At 41.9% G+C, this 22,360-nt stretch overlaps 4 annotated features.

Annotated features, from left to right (window-relative positions):
* Positions 6,474-7,673: an enhancer, noted in NCBI's record as "CDK7 strongly-dependent group 2 enhancer chr4:84539256-84540455 (GRCh37/hg19 assembly coordinates)". NCBI's record gives its function as "activates an origin of replication core promoter dependent on BRD2, BRD4, P300/CBP, MED14 and CDK7 cofactors, with strong dependence on CDK7, by STARR-seq in HCT116 cells {active_cell/tissue: HCT116}" and the evidence as "EXISTENCE:reporter gene assay evidence [ECO:0000049][PMID:35650434]".
* Positions 6,847-7,141: an enhancer, noted in NCBI's record as "tiled region #10444; HepG2 Activating DNase matched - State 5:Enh, and K562 Activating non-DNase unmatched - State 6:EnhF". NCBI's record gives its function as "activates a minimal TATA promoter and a strong SV40 promoter by Sharpr-MPRA in HepG2 cells, with weak activation in K562 cells {active_cell/tissue: HepG2 | K562}" and the evidence as "EXISTENCE:reporter gene assay evidence [ECO:0000049][PMID:27701403]".
* Positions 18,263-18,986: a transcriptional cis regulatory region, noted in NCBI's record as "candidate enhancer chr4.2103 targeted for multiplex CRISPR interference". NCBI's record gives its function as "positively regulates GPAT3 gene expression in K562 cells {active_cell/tissue: K562}" and the evidence as "EXISTENCE:mutant phenotype evidence [ECO:0000015][PMID:30612741]".
* Positions 18,587-18,881: an enhancer, noted in NCBI's record as "tiled region #4612; K562 Activating DNase matched - State 5:Enh". NCBI's record gives its function as "activates a minimal TATA promoter and a strong SV40 promoter by Sharpr-MPRA in K562 cells {active_cell/tissue: K562}" and the evidence as "EXISTENCE:reporter gene assay evidence [ECO:0000049][PMID:27701403]".

The raw sequence follows: 22,360 nt of genomic DNA on the forward strand, positions 1-22,360 counted from the left end.
TTTGGGTTTGGTTTGTTCTTGCTTTTCTAGTTCCTTGGGGTGCATTGTTATTTATTTGAAATCTTTCTACTTTTTTTGATGTATGTGTTTACTGATGTAAACTTCCCTCTTAATACTGCTTTTGCTGTATCCTATAGGTTTTGGGTGTTGTGTTTCCACTTTTATTTGTTTAAATAAATTTTTAAATTTTCTCCTTAATTTCATCATTCACTCATTGGTCATTCAGGTGCATGTTGTTTCATTTCCATGTATTTGTACAGCTTCTAAAGTTCCTCTTGTTGTTGATTTTTAGTTTTATTCCATTGCGGTCAGAACAGATACTAGATGAGATTTTGGTTTTTAAAAATCTGTTGAGACTTTTTTTGTGGCCTAATGCATGGTCAGTCATAGAGAATGTTCCATGTGCTGATGAGAAGAATATGTATTTTACAGCTGTTGAATGAAATGTTCTTAATGTCTGTTAAGTCTTTTGGTTGTAGTATGTTTAAATTGGATGTTTCTTTGTTGATTTTCTGCCTAGATGATCTCTTCAACGCTGAGAGTGGGGTCTTGAAGTCCCCAACTACTATTTTATTGGAGCCTATCTCTCCTTTTAGATCTAATAATATTTGCTTTATATATCTGGGTACTCTAGGGTTGGGTACATATACATTTATAATTGTTATATCCTGTTGCAAAATTTATCCATTTATCAGTAAATAATAACCTTCTTTTTTTTTTTTTAGACGGAGTCTCGCTCTGTTGCCAGGCTGGTGTGCAGCGGTGCGCTTGGCTGATTGCAACCTTTGACTCCCAGATTCAAGCGATTCTCCTGCCTCAGCTTCCTGAGTAGCTGGGATTACAGGCACGCGCCACCATGCCCAGTTAATTTTTGTATTTTTAGTAGAGACGGGGTTTCACCATGTTGACCAGGATGGTCTTGATCTCCTGACCTCATGATCCACCTGCCTCAGCCTCCCAAAGTGCTGGGATTACAGGCATGAGCCACCATGGCTGGCCCTTTGTCCCTTTTTTTAAAATAGTTTTTTTACCTAATGCCTATTTTATCAGATATAACTATAGCTATTCCTGCCCACTTTTGGTTTCTGTGTAGAATATCTTTTTCTATCCCTTCACTTTTGATTTATGTGTATTTTACAGGTGAAGTGAGTTTCTTGTAGACAGTATATGGTTGGGTCATTTAAAAAAATCCATTCAGCCAGTGTATATCTTTTGATTAGGGGATTTAATCTGTTTAAGTTCAAGATTATTATTGACAGGTGAGGACTTTATTCCTGTCATCTTGTCAATCATTTTCTAATTGCTTTGTATAGCCCCTGTTCTTTTCTTTCTCTCTTATCATTTATCTTTGAAGTTTAGTGGTTTTATGTGGTGATAAGATTTGATTTATTTCTCTTTCTCCTTTGTATGTCTGGTGTATCAGTGAGTTTTATGCTTTCATGTTCTTTCATGTGTTTTCATGATGCTAGTTATTGTTCTTTTGCTGCCAGATGTAGAACTCCCTTAAGCATTTACTTTAAGGCAAGCCTAGTGTTGATGAATTCTCTCAGTTTTTGCTTTTCTGGGAAAGGGTTTGTGGACTTCATTTTTCAAGGATAGCTTTCCTGGGTATAGTATTCTTGGCTGGCAGTTTTTTTTTTTTCTTAATGCACTTTAACTATGTTGCCTCATTCTCTTTGCCCTGTAAGGTTTCTGCCAATAACTATGCTATTAGTCTAATGGAAATTCCCTTGTATGTGACTTGATATTTTTCTCTTGTTGTTTTTAGAATTCTCTTTGTCTTTGACTTTTGACAGTTTGACTATATGCACCTTGCAGAGGACCTTTTTGGGTTGAATCTATTTGGGAATCTCTGAGTTCCTTGGATCTGGATGTCTCTATCCCTCCCAAGACCTTGGAAGTTTTCAGCTATTAATTTATGAAATAGGTTTTCTATGTATTTTCCCATCTCTTCTTGCTATAGTTTGGATATTTGTCTTCCCCAAATTTTATGTTGAAATGTGACCCATCCCCACTAATGTTGGAGGTGGCGCCTATTGGAAGTTGTCTGGTTAGTGGGGGTGATCCCTCATGAATGGCTTCGTCCCCTTCCCATGGTAATGAATGATGGCTTGGTCCCCTTCCCATGGTAATGGATGAGTTCTTACTCTATTAGTTCATACAAGAGCTGGTTGTTTAAGGCATGGCACTCCTCCCATTGCTTTTTTGCTCCCTCTCTCACCATGTGACATGCTGGCACCCTTTGCCTTCCACCATTAGTAAAAGCTTCTTGAGGTTGTCACCAAAAGTAGATGCAGGTATCATGCTTCTTGTACAGCAATAAACCCCTTTTCTTTATAAAAGACCCAGCCGCAGGTATTTATTTACAGCAACGCGAAATGGACTTACACACTTCTCCTTTTGAAATTCTCATAATGTGAATTTTTATTTTGCTTTATGATGCCCTGTAAATCCTGTAGTCTTTCTTCATTCTGTTTTATTCTTTTGTTTTTGTTGTTGTCTGCCTGGGTCATATCAAAAGACCTGTCTTCAAGTTTAGAAATTCTTCTGCTTGCTCTGGTCTTTTGTTGAAGGTCTCGGTTGTATTTCTTATTTCATTCATTGAGTTCTTAAGCTCCAAGATTTCTGTTTGTTTCTTTTATTCTATCTATCTCTTTGTTAAATTTCCTATTCAGATCACGAAGTGTTTTCCTGATTTTGTTGAATTGTCTATATGTATCCTCTTGCATCTCACCAAGTTTTCTTAAACTCATTATTTTGAATTTCTTTTTTGGCATCTTGTAAATTGTTTTTGGTGGGGGAGCTGGTATTGGAGAATTATTATGTTCTTTTGGAAGTGTCATGTTTCCTTGCATTTTCATTTTCTTGTATCTCTATGTTGATACCTGTGTATCTGCTGAAACAATTGCCTCTTCCAATTTTATGGAGTACCTTTGGTAGGGAGAGTCATTCCTGTAGGTGAGTCATATGGTGTCAATGGGTAAGTTGAGTTGGCCTTGGTTCTGGGTGGACACAGTAGTGTAGTCTGTTAACCTGTTAAGATTCTTTGGCTATAATCCACATTAATGATCTTTGTGAGTACCTCAGTGGCCTAGGCTGTGAGAATCTATGGTGGCAGTGGTGCATCTTTGCGGGGATGGGACCATTGAGCTTTTTCTCTGGCCAGAGGCATAAGTGTGCAGTGGGTTGGTTGGTTTGGTGACTGGCTTGCTGGGGGTGAATTTTCCATGCAGTTTCGCTGGCCATGGGTGCAGGGATACAGATGCTTGGTGGACCTGGGAGTGGGTCCACCAGGAATGTTTCTGCTGGAGGTGGGTTCACCTTGTTGCTTCTCCAGCTGGGACATGGATGTGCAGTAGTTCGGTGGCTTGTCTCAGGGGCAGGTTTGTCAGGCTGTTTCTTTGGTAGTGAGTGCCAAGAAGGGGGACTTTCTGGGGGAAGGTCCATTGGACTATTTAGTTCAGCCAGCCAAGGGTTGGCTTTCCTGCTGTGCAATGCTGAAGTCATGGCTGTTCCTGGCCCCATGCTCCAAGCAGACAGCGTTGTGGTATTGCAGCCACCTGTGTGGACTTGGTAAAATAATGGCAGAGACTCAAGGCTGGAGACATGCAGTGGCTGCTGGACCCCAGAGCAGGGTGGACTCTAGCAGTGGTTCCAGTTTCAAGATGGCACAGTCCTGCAGTAGCTTGGCTCACTGGGGTTGATTGGGGTGGGGAGTGCACACCTTGTGTTCCTACTCTGGAGTAACGCAGCTATGTTAATTCCAAGCAGCTCCGCAAACTGGGCTAAGGGCTTTTGAGGACTGTGGGATTCTTCTATAGTAAGTACTACAGGAATCTGCAGTGGCAGTTCAGGCATGTGGGGGCCTTCTGCTTACCTTTTTCCCATATGGAGAAGTCCCTCCTGGATCTGAGCCAATCTCAATGGGAGAGATGGGGTGGCAGGGGCAGGGTGCCTTGCTCCCCTCTTTTTGCTGACATCCTGGGCTTCTGTGCTCCACAGGGATTTCACCAGTCCCTTTCTGCACTCCAGTGCTGTCCCTCAGACACTACAGTTGAATGTTAGTTGTTATTTGTTGTTTTGGTTGTTTTTTGTTGGGAGGGATATGTGCCAGGCAACTCTAGTTAACCATTTTGTTGATGTCCTTTATTTCCCTTTGTTTTTTTTATGAGACTGAGTCTCCGTCTGTCATCCAGGCTGGAGTGCAGTGGCACAATCTTGGCTCACTGCAATCTCTGCCTCCTGGGTTCAAGCGATTCTCCTGCCTCAGCCTCCTGAGTAGCTGGGATTACAGGCATGCACCACCACTCCCAGCTATTTTTTTTTGTATTTTCAGTAGAGACAGGGTTTCACCATATTGACCAGACTGGTCTCGAACTCCTGACCTCAGGTGATCTGCCTGCTTCAGCCTCCCAAAGTGTTAGGATTACAGGCATGAGCCACTGCGCCCAGCCTTATTTCTCATTTGTAAGAGTTATATCTAATTCTTTTTCAAATGTGATTACTCTCACATAGTTTTGAAGTACCTTATGCTTATTGATTTTATGTTTTTCCCAACAACTCCAAAATCTTATATCTTTTGAGGGTCTGGGTCTATCTTTTCTGCTGCTTCTTGTTCATAGAGTCTTTGTGTGTTTAGAGAATTTTAATAATTATCATCTTTGGAATTTTATCCTCTCTTAGACCTGGAGAGCAGGGATCAGCAAACCAAAGCTTGTAGGCCAAATCCTGCCCTCTGTCTGTTTTTGTAAATACAATTTTATTGCAAGACAGCATTTGTTTATATATTGCCTATAGCTGCTTTTGCATGACAAAAGCAAAGTTGAGTAGTTGCTATAGTGACCTGCATGGCCCACAAAGCCTAAAATGTTTACTATCTGCTTCTTCATCTGATATGGTTGCCCACCCCAGCTCTAGGGCACTATCAATCTGGTACTACTTTAAACTATATTGTTGGCTTGAGGTTATCGGGCTATGGAAATAGTGAGAATTCAGTCTGTAAATCCAAAGGTGAGCCATTGTGGTTTTGAATGATCTGTGTACTATTTTTAGATAAATCCACATTGTATTTATAAGTAATTCATTCTTTTTAATTGCCAAGTAGTTTTAAATCTTTAGGGGAAAGTTATTTTTCCCTTTCACTTATCAGTAAGGTTTGACACAAGCAATTTGCCTTGCTTACATTTGAGATTGGAGGATGGATTATTTCTTTTTTTTTTCTTTTCTTTTTTTTTTTTTTTGAGATGGAGTTTCGCTCTTGTTGCCCAGGCTGGAGTGCAATGGCGTGATCTCGGCTTACCGGAACCTCTGCCTCCCGGGTTCAAGCGATTCTCCTGCCTCAGCCTCCAGAGTAGCTGTGATTACAGGTGTGCGCCACCATGCCTGGCTAATTTTGTATTTTTTTTGGGTAGAGATGGGGTTTCTCCATGTGGTCCGGCTGGTCTCGAACTCTTGACCTCAGGTGATCCGCCCGCCTCGGCCTCCCAAAGTGCTGGGATTGCAGGCATGAGCCACTGCACCTGGCCCTTTCTACTTTACTGTTACACAGAGGTTATAGTCCTTTGATATTTCACCTTCAAAGGAAGACTGTAGTTAGACTTTCCATCTTGGGCAGGACTTCAATTTTGTTTTTTGTCCCTTAGGCCCTTAAGGCTCTAGAAACCAATGCTAGAGTTTGCCTGGTTCAGCCAATGCCTGCAAAGTAAATGACAACTGCTGGGCTCTCTGCTCTGCTTTTTCCTCTGGGAATCGATCTTCCTTTAGTCTCTGACTTGAGTAGTCCTAACTTTCTTGCTAGTTACAGAAGCATTCAAAATCATTTTCTTTTATCATATAGGAAGAGAGTGAGTTCTTGTTGCAAAAAATAAAAGTTCTAGAAGGAGACAACTTTAAATTTAAAAAGAAGTTTCTCTGAGTGTTTTACTCTAGGTTAAAGCCATTATTTAAATATAAGGAGAAAAGCCTCTCCTTTAGAATCATTACTGTTCATTTGCAAATTAAATGCTGAAAGGTTTTGTAAGATAAAGTGATTTATAGGAGATCTGGACTAACACAGGGAAAACTGGAAGATTTTGGTGTTGGTGGAGAATACAAAAACCCGACAGCAGGAAGTCAGCTGAAAGAAGCCACCAGGTCATTGGTGTTCTTGGCATTGTGGGTGGGTGGTGAGTTTTCAGGCTGCACGTGTTACAGCCTAGGCTGAGGATCCCATCAAGGCTTTTGATGGCCCTCCATGGTCATAAATTCCTGCTATGAGCACTCCCTGCTGTTGTGAGACGCATATAGTAATTCTGGCTACTTGCTGGCCTCTTGGCTCTGTGTCCGGAAAAGATGTCTTGGAAAACTCTGAGAATAAAAAATGTATACTCTATCTTGGTGACCTAAAACATTTCAAATCCGTTTGCCCTCTAAAGCTGTGATCAGGGAGTGGATAGCTCAAAGAGCAGAACCAGTTAGTCTCCTCTCAAGGTGAAATATATATATTTCTTATACAAATAGGTGAATTTAAACTTTTTTGAGAATCTTTGACAATTGTATGTCTTGGCTTAGTTAAGATATATCCTTGCTGATTACACAAGTCAATTAGGGATCACAGGTTAGAGTTGGGCAAGTTTTCAAATCATTGTTTCTCTAGCTTTATAAAGGAAAACACCTATATTTGGTGCTTACAATTCGTATGCTGTTCTAGGTCTGAGGACACAACAATGACAAAGGCAAAAACTCTGGGCTATGGAAATCCACTGAAGCAGGTGGAAAATAAAAACAAAATCAAGAAACATGTTTGGACGAAAACATCATAGGGGATTTAGAGTGCCTTTGAACATTTTTCATGTAAGTTTGGGATAGTAAATGCCTAAGCACTCTTCTGAAAGAGTTTACAGAAAAGTATACTTCCTTTACAACTAAAGTATAGTGTCAATGGAATCAAGCTCTGTGACTAGGAGCCGGGAGTGGAGCTGACATCTATGGAATGCACACGTGACAGTGCTCATGTGCTGAGTCACCTGTGGGGTTGACCTTGGTTCAAAGCCTGTTTTTCATTGCAATCATTCTTTGATACAGGCAGCCCTGATGTCTGTTGCTAAATTAAGCACAAGTGAACCTGTCAAACGTCCTAACTGGAAGGAATTTTCAGTGCTGGTTATTTGTAAGGCAGGTTCTGAAACTGTTCCTGCAGAACCGAATTTTTTTTAGGATAGGCAGAGAAATGACTTTGGAAATCCTGTTCTATCCAGTCAGTTCTCCAGATTTTTGGTTAACAATGGAATGATGAATGAAATACCATAGCTTCACCTAGTAAATTCCTTGGTCCAAAAGCTCTCTTTGGAAACTGCTTCTGTTTAACAGTTATCCTCTTTAGGCATTTACACATATTTTATAAAATACATACTATAATTCAGGCTCTGTTAGTCTTGAGGTTCTTTGCTGCCCAAGGCAGGAACTTGCCATTCAGGAGCTTAGAAAAATCTGGAAGTAGAGACAAACACCACTAACCACAAGAGGAAGTGGCGAGGCCCTGTTTTCCAGCCCAGGAACAAAGTGCTGTGGGAGTGTAGAGAGGTGATAAATGTTGGGTGGAAGGGTGTGTAGAAGGGAGGACATGAGTGTGCCTTGAGGAATGACTAAGTGCTCTCCAGTGAAGTCAGGAAACGTGCAGGTGATTCCTTGTTCTGTGCATATACTGTCCTTCCCAATTCCCATACCCTTGAGAAAACAAAACAAAACCAAACCAAATAGGAGAGGGTTGTTTATAATCGCAGACCTTTTTGACTCCGAAATGCCCCATGTTCTTATTTTGGAGCCATTTACCACTTCCCCAGCATCACTTCCCTAGCCCAAGCCATCATCATTTCTTACAGGGCTATAGTAACTCTTCTAATGGATCTCCCTGCCTCTTCTCTTGTTCCCCAAATAGTCTATTTGGTAAATAGAAGCTAGTGTGATAATTTCAACTCATAAATTGACTCATTTTGCTCCCACTATCAGAACTCTTCAGTGGCTTCCCATTACACAGAGGATAAAGATTAAATTCCTTACCCCAGTATTCGAAGCCTTGAAACAATCTGACCACTGATCAGTCTTCTAGCCTGATTTCTATCATGCTTTCCCTGGCTCAAACTCCTGCAGTACTCTGGCCCTTTTGTTCTTTTTTTGAAACCACTATGAATTTTTGTGCTCAGGGCCTTGGCACTTGCTACTTCAGCTTGGAATGATCTCCTAGATATTTGCAAAGCTCCTTTTTCTTCATTTGTCTGCCCAAATATCCCCTCCTCACAGGAGTTCCCTGGCCATCCCACCTAATAGAGTAGCTCCTGCCACTCCCTATCTCCCATCCTGCTTTTTTCCCATTAGTACTTATTTTTGAACATTATTTGTTAGTTTTACACACCCCCACCACACTATAAGCTTGATCAATATTTGCCAAAGAACAGGCAAATTTGTGATCATTCCTCAATTCTTCCTTGACTTACATGCCCTTAACAATTTTGAGAATTACAGGCCAGGCATTTTTTTAGTAGCTCCTTTAATTTGATGTTTCTGATGTTTTCTCATGGTTAGTTTCAGGTTATGCATCTTTGACAGGAAAAACAAGAAGTGATTGATGCTCAGTGCCCTTTTCATTGTGTCCTATTAGGAGGTGCATACTTTTGATTTGCCCCATGACTGAAGCACAGTACTCTGGGTGCTTGATTAAGGTGGTGATATGGTTTGGAGCTGTGTCCCCTACCCCAAATCTCATATTCAGTTGTAATCCTCAGTGTTGGAGGTGGGGCCTGGTGGGAGGTGATTGGATTGGTAGTAAGTCTCATGAGATCTTATGGTTTTAAAAAGGGTTTTCCCTTTCACTTCATCTTCTTGCTGTGTCCTCATATGGTTGTCCCCCAGTCTGTGTGTTTTCTGTGTCCTAATCTCCTTTTTTTTACAAGAACACCAGTCATATTGGATTAGGACCCATGCATATGACCTCATTCTACCTTAATCACCATCTTAAAGGCCCTATCTCCAAACAGTGACAGTTTGAGGTACTGGGAGTTAGGACCTCAACATACAAATTTTTTGGGTACACAATTTAGCACATAATAGGTGGTGTCTGCCTGGCTTTTCCGTGGTAAACTTACTCTTTTCTCCTTCATTAGTGAATGAGTCATTTGGAGGGAGATACTTTGAAACTACACAAGTATCTGATATGGTTTTGCTGTGTCCCCACCCAAATCTCATCTTGAATTCTAGCTCCCATAATTTCCATGTGTGGTGGGAGGGACCCGGTGGGAGATAATCTAATCATGGGAGTGGTTTTCCCCCATACTGTCCATTTCCAATCCAATATTACAGGTTCATTTTAATTTTCTCCCTCTTTATATTTGTAAGTCCCCTCTCAAACAGTGAGGAGCCTTGTTCCCTATCTTTGATATATTTACTTATTTGTAACCAGTCTCAATGGCTTTGCACTCTCCCCATATAGATGCCTTCCTCACCTCACTTAGTGTCTACTTTATGGAGGACCACTCCCTTCCATGAATGCCTTTCTTACCCTGCACAGGAGAGGCCACTCCTTCCTGTGGATCCTCCCATTACCACTCTAGGCTTGACTCCCCACACCAGGCTGTCCCGTCCCAATGAAGATATCCTCCTCACTTAATGCAGGCTCTGTCACCTCACCTGTTTGGGTTCCAATGCCCTGCATTGGGCAGCCTTCCTCTGAGGATGGTCTCACCATGCACAGGCTCCACCATGCACAGACCCTGCTCTGGGCCACCAGTGCTTCCCATCACCAGTGTGGAGGCCCACCTTGCTCTGCCCACCTATGGCTTTAGGACTGAAGTATTCAAGGAAGGGGAAAAAGAGATCATGCCACTGGCTGTTGCCCAGGCTGGAGTGGGCACTGGCACTATCTTGGCTCACTTGCAGCCTTAACTTCTTGGGCTCAGGTAATCCTCCTGCCTCAGCCTCCAGAGTAATTGGGACCACAGGCATGTGCTGCTATGCCTGGCTAATTTTTGTATTTTTGGTAGAGATGGGGTCTCACTCTGTTGCCCAGGCTGGTCTTGAACTCCTGGGCTCAAGTGATCTGTCTGCCTCAGCCTCCCAAAGTGCTGAGATTGCAGGTGGGAGCCACCATGCCTGCCTCAGCCTCCCAAAGTGCTGAGATTGCAGGTAGGAGGCACCATGCATGGCTTTTATTTTTGTTTTTGATTTGTGGTTAGAGTATATCTTTTATTCAACCTTTACTTTCAATTGTACATGTTTCTTTAAATTACACATAGATAAGCATGCATATTTAAGACATAGTCTCTTTTAATAACCAGTTCACTTTCCTGAATGATATAGTTTGGCTATGTCCCTACCCAAATCTCATCTTGAACTGTAGTGCCTATAATGCCCATGTGTTGTTGGAGAGACCCAGTGGGAGGTAATTGAATCATGGGGGCATTTACCTCCATGCTGTTCTTTTGCTAATGAGTGAGTTCTCATGAGATCTGATAATTTTATAAGGGGTTTTCCCATCCGCCTTTACTCTGCACTTCTCCTTGCTGCTGCCATGTGAAGAAGAACATGTTTGCTTCCCCTTTGCCATGATTGTAAGTTTCCTGAAATCTCCCAAGCCCTGTAATTGACTGTAAGTCAATTAAATATTTTTCCTTTGTAAATTACCCAGTCTTGGGTATTTCTTCATAGAAGCATGAGAATGGAATTAATACAGTAACTTGGTACCAGGAGTGGGGTGCTGCTATAAAGATACCTGAAAATGTAAAAGCAACTCTGGAACTGGGTAACAGGCAGAGGCTGGAACATTTTGGAGGGCTCAGAAGACAGGAAGATGTGGGAAAGTTTGGAACTTCCTAGAAACTTGTTGAATGGCTTTAACCAAAATGCTGATAGTGATATGGACAATAAAGTCTGGGCTGAGGTCATCTCAGACGGAGATGAGGAAAGTTTTGGGAGCTGGAGCACAGGTGACTCTGGTTATACTTTAGCAAAGAGACTGGCAGACTGGCATGTTTTGCCCCTGCCTTAGAGTTCTGTGGAACTTTGAACTTAAGAGAGATGATTTAGTGTATCTGGTGGAAGAAATTTCTGAGCAGCAAAGTGTTCAAGAACATAAAAGTTTGGAAAATTTGCAGCCTGACAATACAATAGAAGGAAAAAAACCATTTTCTGGGGATAAATTCAAGCCTACTGCAGAAATTTGCATAAGTAACAAGGAGCTGAATGTTTATCACCAAGACAATGGGGAAAATGTCTCCAGGGCATGTCAGAGTCCTTCCTGGCAGCCCCTCCCATCACAGGCCTAGAGATCTAGGAGGAGAAAATGATTTCATGTGGTGGGCCCAGGGCTCCTCTGTGGTGTGCAACCTAGGGACTTGGTGCCTTGTGTCCAGCCTCTCCAACTGTGGCTAAAAAGGATCAAGGTAGATCTCAGGCTGTGGCTTCAGAGGGTGCAAGCCCCAGTCCTTGGCAGCTTCCATGTGGTGTTGGGCCTGTGGGTATGCAGAAGTCAAGAGTTGAGATTTGGGAACCTCTGCCTCGATTTCAGAGGATGTATGGAAATGCCTGGATGTCCAGGCTGGAGTTTGCTGCAGGGGTGTTTGCTGCAGGGGTGGAGCCCTCTGCTAGGGCAGTGTGGAGGGGAAATGTGAGTTTGGAGCCCCCACACAAAGTCCCCATTGGGGCACTGCCTTGTGGAGCTGTGAGGAGAGGTCCACATCCTCCAGAAGTCAGAATGGTAGATCCACTGACAGCTTGCACCTGGAAAAGGCACAGGCACTCAAAAACAGCCTGTGAAAGCAGCCAGGATGGGGGCTGTACCCTACAAAGCCACAGAGGCAGAGCTGCCCAAGGCTGTGGGAACCCATCTCTTGCATCAGCATGACCTGGATGTGAGACATGGAGTCAACGGAGATTATTTTAAAGCTTTAAGATTTAATTACTGCCTTGTTGGATTTTGGACTTGCATGGGGTCTGTAGTCCCTTTGTTTTGGCCAATGTCTCCCATTTGGAATGGGTGTATTTACCCAATGCCTGTACCCCCATTGTATCTAGGAAGTAACTAACTTGCTTTTAATTTTACAGGCTCATAGGTGGAAGGGACTTGCCTTGTCTCAGATGAGACTTTGGACTAAGACTCTTGAGTTAATGCTGGAATGAGTTCAAACTTTCAGGGACTGTTGGAAAGGCATGATTGTGTTTTGAAATGTGAGGACATAAGATTTGGGAGGGCCAGGTATAGAATAATATGGTCTGGCTGTGTCCCCACCCAAATCTCATCCTGAACTGTAGTTCACACAATCCCCATGTGTCATGGGAAGGACACAGTGGGAGGTAATTGAATCATGGGGATGGTTACCCCTATGCTGTTCTCGTGTTTAGTGAGTTCTTATGAGATCTGATGGTTTTATTTTTTATTTTATTTTATTATCTTTTTTTGAGACAGAGTTTTGCTCTTGTTGCACAGGCTGGAGTGCAATGGTGTGATCTCATCTCACTGCAACCTCTGCTCCTGGGCTCAAGCGGTTCTCCTGCCTCAGCCTCCCAAGTAGCTGGGATTACAGGTGTGTGCCACCACACCTGGCTAATTTTGTATTTTTAGTAGAGACAGCGTTTCACCATTTTGGCCAGGGTGTTCTCCAACTCCTGACCCCAGCCTCCCAAAGTGCTGGGATTACAGGCATGAGCCACCAAGCCTGGCCGAGATCTGATGATTTTATTAGGGCTTCCCCCCTACTTTGCTCTGTACTTCTCCTTGTTGCCACCCTGTGGAGCTGCCACCATGCTTCCCCTTACACCATGATTATAAGTTTCCTGAAGCTTCCCCAGGCCTGCACAACTGTAAGTCAATTAAAGCTCTTTCCTTTATAAATTACCCAGTCTTGGGTATTTCTTCATAGCAGTGTGAGAGCAGAACTAATACACTGAGTGAATTTCATTTTGGCTTTAATAAACAAAGAATGTTAGTATGTTTTGGGCTATGCCGTCAAATTTCATTTTGAAAATGGAGGTCTGATATTACCATGAAACAAAGTTGTCCTACCTTATTTCAGTGATGTAAGGGGTGTTACCTTTTATCTTCCATGTATTCTTTTCTTTTGTTGATATGTTATATTACTGGGCAAGCATCTTCTCCTTCCATGGAGGTCGGCACATGCCCCCACACTGGCTGGTTAGAGAACTTCTTTTGACTCAAGGGTGGACACATTATCTAAGAGCGTCAAGCAGAGACCTTCTGAAAGAGCAATAAGGACGCAAAGAGATAGGTTCTTAGATTGCAAATAGTAAGAACTATGCAGATCCAGAGATCATGGGAGTCATCTTTGCTGCCACAAGGAAAGTACCTTCTGAGAATGAAGACAGCACAGAGGAAAGTGGAGAAAAAAGAGAGAGATCCATCCTGTTGATATAGCTTGATACCCTTCATTCATCAATGCTTGAGGCCAGAAAACCCTTTGACTTTCCAGATATAATAGTTAATCCAATCTTTTCCACATACTTCAGCTAGAGCAAACTGGGTTTGCAATTAGTTAATTCAATTTACAGCTATAGTGAGTTGCAAATGAAATAGTCCTAAAATGAAGAGTTTTATAAGCATATATGTATAGTACATATGTGTGCATATCTATACATACATATGTGTTATGTCTGCATGTGTGTACACACACACACACATACATTTTCTTTTTTTATCTAGAGAAGTTTTTCCTCAGTGAAATCTTACATAATGCTTTGATTGAATCAGTGATGAAGTTCCAAAGACTCAGAGCCCAATTCCCTTGGTCTCCTTCTGTTTCTTTTTTTTCTCTTTTCTTTCCTTTTTTTGAGATGGATCTTGGTCTGTCGCCCAGGCAAGAGTGCAGTGGCATGATCTCTGCTCACTGCAACCTCCCAGGTTTAAGCAATTCTCCTGCCTCAGCCTCCCGAGTAGCTGGGATTAGAGGCGCCCGCCACCATACCTGGCTAATTTTGTATTTTTAGTAAAGATGGGATTTCACCGTGTTGGCCAGGCTGGTCTCGAACTCCTGACCTCATCCTTCTGCTTCTATTTATAGTCTCTAATGCAAACCCTGAGGCTCTGCGAAGCAAACATTAAAACACAGCCTTAGAGCAAGAAATATGTTACTTTAAGAGATTCTTCTCCTCTCTATTGTAGGACCTAATTTTAATGATTTAAATATAAAATATTCACAACAGACTTTGTTGAATGCTTATTGAATCTAATGTCTATTAGGCTAAATTAAATATTAACTTAATTAAACTGGACACTAGCTGAGATAGGCAATTGTGCACAGAAGCCTTTGGAAGTTTCCCACCTGCTGCTACACTCATGTCTGAGGCAGAGAAGCCACTGTTGGGTGCTGCCCAGACAATAGAGGCCTCAGAAGTGCATGGGTTCTTCCAGGAGCTGTATAGCACACTTTCTTTGGTGAGTGCCAGGAAAGACAGCCAGGGAGAGTATTGCAAACTTACAGGAACTGGAGGAAGACTTTCCAGAAGTCCTCCTTCCCAATTTATGAGTGAGATAGAGAAAAACAGAGCATTTGAGGCTGTCAATATCTCTTATTGCTAATTTAAACCCGATTCTACTCCCTATAGCCCAAAAGAAATCCCCATATTCAATGCTAACACACACATTTGTTTAATGTTGCAGAGTGGTTAATTCTGGCATAGAACACACCACTCTCAAATCTGAACATAAAAGGGAAAATTAACTCTAACAGAATTATGAAGGGATTTATAGATACTGGTAGTTAGAGATTCCGCAATGCTGCAGTCCCTCTTTTAGGGGGAGGCGAGCAGGTGAAAATTCCAGCAGTGCATTTCTTCCGTGAACATACACCGCTGTTTGGAGGCGATACTGTTTCACAGAAACACTGCTCTTAGAATTCAGGAGCTTGCGTAAACCATGTCAGCCTTCAATAAAACAATCTAGGAAGTAACCCATTTTCTCATTGTCTCTGCGAAAGAGAATCAGTCCGTATTTAAAAAGCATTTTGGTTGTTTCTTTGACCTTGTTTTCTCTGGGTTGTCTTTCCTTCTATTTATAGTGTGGCTCTAGCGCATGTCTGGCTCGGGTTACCTATGCTCAGTTCATCTGGGTTTGCTATTTTTAAACACTGTGTGGAGGTAGTTTGGGATCAAAGTCATGTATCTGGGCAGCACAAGTCGCTGAATTAACAAAGGCATAATCATCACTGAGGTGACATCCAAATTAGACTTTTTTTTTTTTTTAAGTGTAGCATTTCCAAGTAGATCTGTGAATTCTTAACAGATTTACTTTGGAACAAGAAGCATTTTCTTTCCTAGTACTGATATTATTTCCTTCTAAAGTGGCCTTATCATGTAATTGGTTACATCATTAAAGGAAAATTCAGTTTTCCTAAAAACTGAAATTTTTAGGAAAGTTTTAAGTTTATGAAAACTTAGGTTTTCATAAAACCTAAGTCTTAGGCCAGAAGTTCAACTTCTACTAACAAAGTAAAACAATGTCCTCTTAGCAGCTTTTCTCTGTAATGGGAAATTGCAAAGCATTGCTACATGGTTACATGTTTAAATTTCTTTCTCTACACTTTCTGATAAATTCCAATTCTGAGGATCTTGTTCTGCTATTGTCACATTATATTTATGGATGAAATTAAGAGAGTGGATCTGCTGGCAGCAGTTCAAAATATTTCACAGATAAATCTGTTCTGTAGCCCATCTTTCTTAATGCAAGCTTGAGGGATATTCATTCATTCATTTAATCAGTGCTCACTGAAGCAGAGCCTTTCCCAACAACCTGCTATCTGGGCAGGAATGAATGTTGTTTTTCCACGTTGGGTGCCTTGCCTATCTGTATGGTGGCTTGTCTGGGGCAACCTCAGATTGTCTGCTGGTGTGGTCTTGGGGCAGGATCTGTTATCTGCAGACCTTTCTCTAGTCTTGGACTAGCTGTCCCTAGCCTCTTGAGGTATGGGGCCAGGTCAGGGGCATAACTGGTGAGTTAGGCTGGCTCCTGAGGCTGGCTACTGCTGTTCCTCAAGAGGAGTGGTGGGTAGGGTGGGATGCAGCCCCGGGCTGGTGCATGCACATGTCTCAGATTGGCAGATGGCTGGTAAAGGTGGATGACATTTCGAGAGCACTGACTTCAAATAAGGAAACTTTTTGTTAGTTTTTGCTTATCCCCCACGATTGGGCTTTTTATTATATTAAAGCTAGTAGATTCATGTAATTTTCTGGAAGAGAAAGGAACTTCATCTACTTGCTGCTTTAGCAGGTGGATGTGTTTAGGCCACAAAGCTGGGCATGCCGTGAAGTGCCAGGTATGCCTCTATTCCCCCTTCCAGTTGCAAAATTAGGTGTAATGGCCATTGTTTACTCTGCGTACCAGGAACTCTCATCTTGCAAGGTAGGGATCGTTATTCCCATTTTCAAATGAGGAGAATTGAGTTCCACAGAGCCTGAGCGTTTTGCCCAGCCAAGGTTTGCCTAAGTAGTGGGAGATGGAGCCACTTAAGTGATTTCTCTTATAAATATTTCACTGCTATGGCTCTCAAATTTGCTACCAGGCCTATCATTTTCCTTCCTTAATTCTAGCAGTCAGCCACAGAGTTCTCCTTGCTCCTCCTATTCTATTGACCTGGTACCTCCTTAGGTTTTCCTGTCTCATTTTCTCTCCACCAACTTGGCTTCTTTGTCCTCTCTCCTGCCATCTATATATAATTGGATTTTTTTCTTTAAAATAGCTCTCTAATTTCATTCTTCCCTGTCATCCCTATTCAGGTAACATTCAGATCTTTTCATCTCTTGCTAGATCATAACAGTCTTAGAACTAATATTCCTAAGCCTGAAGCCGCAGTTACATTCAGCTTCCTAACTCACCCCTTTCACCATGTTACTTTTCCTTATTAGATACCAAGTGAAATCTAATTCCTTAGCTTGCAATTCTAGGCTCTCTACAAATGTATTTCCAAATCATTGATATTCCTATTTATCCCATGTCCTCTAGGTAGATGTGTATACTTGATATTTCTAAAACATCTTATGAGGCCTGGTGCCGTGGCTCATGCCTGTGATCCTAGCACTTTGGGAGGCCGGAGCGGGTGGATCACATGAGGTCAGGAGTTTGAGACCAGCCTGGCCAACATGGTAAAACTCCGACTCTACCAGAAATACAAAAATTAGCTGGGCATGGTGGTGTGCACGTGTAGTTCCAGCTACTCAGGAGGTTGAGGCAGGAGAATGGTTTGAACCTGGGAGGCGGAGGTTGTAGTGAGCTGAGATTGTACCGTTGTACTGCAGCCTGGGTGACAGAGCAAGACTCTGTCTCAAAAATAAATAAATAAATAAATAAAAAACGTCTTATGGCTGAGACTATTTACTCTCTCCAAATTCATTCTCTTCCTCTGTCTTAGTAACAGAACCCTACATTTATTCAAGATATTAGCATACCCAACTAGAAACTGTATTTTTCAGGCTCTGTTGCAACCAGGTATAGGAATGGGACTTAGTTCTTGTCAAAAGGACTTGAATCCAAGTCTTAAGTAGGACTTTTGGGAAGTATCTATAAAAAATATTTTTTCTTTTTAGCTGTCTGGTTTGGAAATGTGATGGTTGGAGCTCTAGTAGCCATCTTGGGCCTTCAGAATAGAGACCACACTCTAGGTTAGAGATCTGGAAGATGTCTTGATCCTCAGTGATTTTGTGGATTTGTATTATCAGCTTTGGCTTCAAAATTATTTGAGCCATCATTTGAACCTCATCCCGAATGATACACATGCTTCATGGAGGAGGTAGCATTGAGATGGTCCTTGAAGGAAGAATAGGATTTAGATGGTCAGGAAGAGTAGGGAAACATCATAGGCAAGGGGATAAAATAAAAATAAAAAACTATTAAATTTACAGAGTAGTTTACAGCTTATAGAGTGAATTCACATCCACTATTTTATTTGTTCCTCATAATAACTGGGTATGTTATATGCAAATATTATCTTCATTTTACAGATTAGAACTGTGGAGTCCAAAGATGGACAAACGATTAAATGGAAAGGACATTGGATTTGTAGTCAGAAAGTCTGGGTTTGAGTTTTTTATTGTGATGGGCAAACTTTAAGGTGGCCCCCATGATTCCTCTCCTGGTGTTTATGTTTTTATATAATCCTCTTCTCTTGCTTGTAGGCAGACCTGTGAATTACTTCTAATCAGTAGACTATAGCAAAGGTGAAGAGATGCTGCCCTTAAAATTTCATTATATTATATATCACTCCAGAGCCTCTTGCTCCCTCACCCCCTCTACCATCTCCGTTACTGATTTTGAAGAAGAAAGCTGTCATGAATCTTATAACTGCAAGGAACTTAATGTTGCCAAGAACCATTTGAGTGGGAAAATGGATTCTTCTCCAGGCAAGCCTTCAGATGAGAACTTAGCCCAGGCCAACACCTTGACTACAGCGTTGTGAGACTCTGAAGCAGAGAACCCAGCTAAACCGTGTCCAGACTCCTGGCTCAGACTGTGTGTTATTTTAAGTTACTTAGTTCATGGTAATTTGCTATGCAGAAATAGATAGCTAATAGACTATCTACTAGTTGTGCGGCCTTGAGTTAATAGCATAACTGCTTTGTCATGGCAGAGGTGATTAACTGTTCACCATAAAGTTATGCTTCCTCTTCCACAGAACAGCTTTATCACTGGGAAGCAGCCACCCAGCGATAGCCTACATTTCGCAATACCCCTCACATCTGGGTGGAGGCATTGACTGTTCTCACCAGTGAGATGTAAGTGAAAGTCATTTGGGTCACTTCCAGCATGAGGTTGTTAAAAAGTAGGTGTGCTTTCTCCAACCTCTCTGCCTGTCTGCCAGCTTGAGGCAGGAGACTCCAAGGCTGTAGGATCTGGTGGGGCCACAAGACAGAAGGAGCCAGGGCTCAATTACTTCGTGGAGGAAAACTGCACCCTGACCAGGAACACCCTCAGTACACAGTTACATGAGCAGGAAATAACCCTATTGTGTTAAGTGCTGACTGTTTTGTTTATTGTAGCAATTACTGTTTCCCTTATGTAGCATTAATTTTCTTATCTATCAAATGGGGATAAAGTTGTGACATAAATGAAACAATCTGTTTAAAACACATATCAAATTGTAAACTATTATCCTAATATGAGGTGTTAATAGTGTCTTCACAAAACCCCTGTGATGTAACTAGAGAAGTAATTATTCCTTCATTTTATAGGTGATAAAACTATATGAAATGGCTATGTGGCTGGTTTGAGGTCTCTAAATTAGTGACAGGGGTAGGACTATCTCTCTTGATTCCCTACCTAATATTCTTCCACATTTCCATGACATCACACAAGGGTTCAGGGGAGTGGAAGGTGTGCAGAGGAAGGGGGAGTTTCAGGAAGACACATTTCTTTAAACATGTGCAGATGAATACAGTGATTTCAAAGGTGTCCCTGTGGAGTTGAACCAAATGCCTCCTCTGCAGAGGCTGTATGTTTAGCTGTCAGTACATGGAAGAGAAGCATAGCTTCACCTTACATATGTTTTAGTTAAATTAGTAGATTAATGTATATTTACTTTGAGGTGATTGTTGAAATACCTTCCTTGTGTGTAATGGAATTTTCTCCTTTCGGCGATGCCAAAGACAGTTCATTTAGCTACATATGTTGTCAGTGAAATTTCCCACATGCTTCCATGAAACATTTGTCTTCTCCAGATGGCCTGTGTAAAGCCCAGTTGTTCTTCCAAATAAATTTATGGCTACAACAAATGTGTTATCTCTCTAGACTAGCTGAGAGTTCTTTTTTGGAAAAAGAAATAAATGATTTCCTACAATTCAAAGAGGGATAGATTTTTCAGTGTAAAGTGGTGTGAAACTCTGTTCTAAGGCTGAAATTTGGTAGGATCTGAGTTTTAAAAATTAATAGATAGAGTGTGTTGCTTTCATTCCCCTCCACCCATAAAATCTGTGTGGTTTTAAGTTCCCTTCATACAAGAATCCCAAACACAAGAATTCCCCTGCAGATTGTTTCCATATTTCTAATCTCTTGCTTTGCAGCTTTTTTCCCCCAATAAAGCCTTACTTTTAAAATAAAAAATCCAAACACTTATTATTCAATATTTAATATATGAAAAAGAATACTTATAACACAGATATAAGTTAACAAACATACTAATAAATTGGACACCTGTGGAACCACTGATCAACTCAAGAGCCAGAATAATAACAATGGCATTGTATTCATCTGCTCAGTTCCTTGCTTCTGCTGTCATCCCCTTCCTGCTAGGAACCACTACTGCCCTTTACTTTTAAAAATTATTATGAACTGATTGTAACTATTTATGAAAAGGTTTGAAAATCTTAGTGGGAGAATATGCAATGTGACTTCAGATTGGTATTAACAATAATCCTCAACCTTATATTGAAGGCTTTCAAGTCTGTTTTTTCTTCTTCTTCTTCTTCTTCTTCTTTTTTTTTTTTTTGAGACAGGGTCTTACTGTCACCCAGGCTGGAATGCAGTGGTGCAATCGTGGCTCACTGCAGCTTCAACTTCCCTGGCTCAAGTGATCCTCCTACCTCAGCCTCCCGAGAAGCTGAGACTACAGGCATGTGCCATCATGCCTGGCTAATTTTTGTATTTTTTGTGGAGATGCAAAAGGGATTACAGGTGTGAGCCGCTGAGCCTGGCCTTACGTTTTCAAGTCCTTGAAATTCACAATATCCCTGTGAGCTTATCAGTGCACATATTTTATTCTTTTTCAGATTGGAAATGGAGGCCCATACTGAACTGATTACTAATAGGTAGCAGAGAAGGCTAGAACCAGAAGCTTTAGACCTTAAGTCCTGTGATCTTTGCAGTAAACAACATTGCTGATGAGTAAGTAGTTATCAAGTAGATTTCAAAGGATAAATCATTGTTTCTCACCTCACAGAAATATCACTGCAGGCAGCAGCAGCAGACAAATAGTAGTTTGTATCATTAGCAGACCCAGCAACACAGGACCAGCTATTGTATCTTATTTTTCCTTGTATTCCCAGCCCACGGCATGGTGTCTGACACATAGTAGGTCCATGTTAGGAGCTTGGGCTCTGGCCTTAAATACCATTAGGCTGAAAACTGGCTTTCCATTTAGTAGCTTCATGACTTTGCGCCAGTAAACTGGCCTCTGTAAGTCCCACTTACTCATTTATGAAATGAGCATAAACATGGCAGAAGGACAAGAAGCCCTTCTATCCTAGCCCACTTGCCAATATGGTGCAGCTGAAGAAGGGCATAAGTGGTAGTGTGGCAGGTGTAGCCAGCATGTCCCCCTGCCCATCCACCCACCTGCACATGAAGCTGCACAGAAGAGTTCCCCACAGGGGCATAAAATTGACCGGGACCCTGACTAGAGAACTTGGGGTGGGTGTGCCTTGCAGTCAGAATGAGGAGGACCCAGGCTGTCTCGTTAGGGCTTGGTGACTGAAGCAAAAGGGGACAGGGATAAGATATGTCTGCATGCAGTGGCAACTGAGTCTTGGTAATCAAAGAAAGAGGGGATGAATTGTGTCAGCAACAAAACCAGCATGAGAGGAGATGGATCAAGGAGGGCTGGCCTATGATTCCGACAGACCCCAGGACAGTAGAAGCAACAGCTTAGCTGGGAGACAGGTACTTAGAATGACAAGGGATTCCGTGTGTTGTGTATTATTCTGGATTACGTTCAAGGTGCTGTGGCTATGGGAATATGACAGAGGGAGTAAGCAGCCCCAAAGAGAGGATGATGTGTGCTGGGTTTTAAAGAAGCTCATGCTGTAGGAAAGAGGGAGGAAATCATTCAGAGGAGAGGGAACATGCTCAGAGTCCCAGAGAGGTCAAGAGCATGAAACATATGGCAGACAGTGAGAAGCCCAGATGTCCAGAAGGTCAGATACAAGTGAGAGAAAGGCAGGACAAGAGGCAGGACAGGGATGTGGAGGCCAGCCTGCAGAGAGCCTTGTATGACATGTTAATTTCCCCCAACTCTAGGTATTTCTATGAAGGTTTCCAGAGTTCTCTTTATGAAAGACAAATATGATCATGTCATTTAGCTAAAAGTCTTGTATTGACTTCCCTTAGAACAGGGATTCTTGGCCGAGTGCAGAGGCTCAGGCTCAGAAAAAATATTTTTCAATGCATAACATAAAATAGATAAGATCACAAAGGAAACCAAATATATTGAAATACATTGGGTGGCCATGAAGGATAGATTGCTTGAGCCCAGGAGTTCCAGACCAGCCTGGGCAACATAGGGAGACCTCATCTCTACAAAATAAAAAATTACCAGCCTGGGAAACATGGTGAAACCCTGTCTCTACAAAAACAAAAACAAAAACAAAAACACCCAAAAACCAGAAAGTAACCAGGCAT

Source organism: Homo sapiens, chromosome 4 (assembly GCF_000001405.40).
Source record: "Homo sapiens chromosome 4, GRCh38.p14 Primary Assembly".
NCBI lineage: Eukaryota > Metazoa > Chordata > Mammalia > Primates > Hominidae > Homo > Homo sapiens.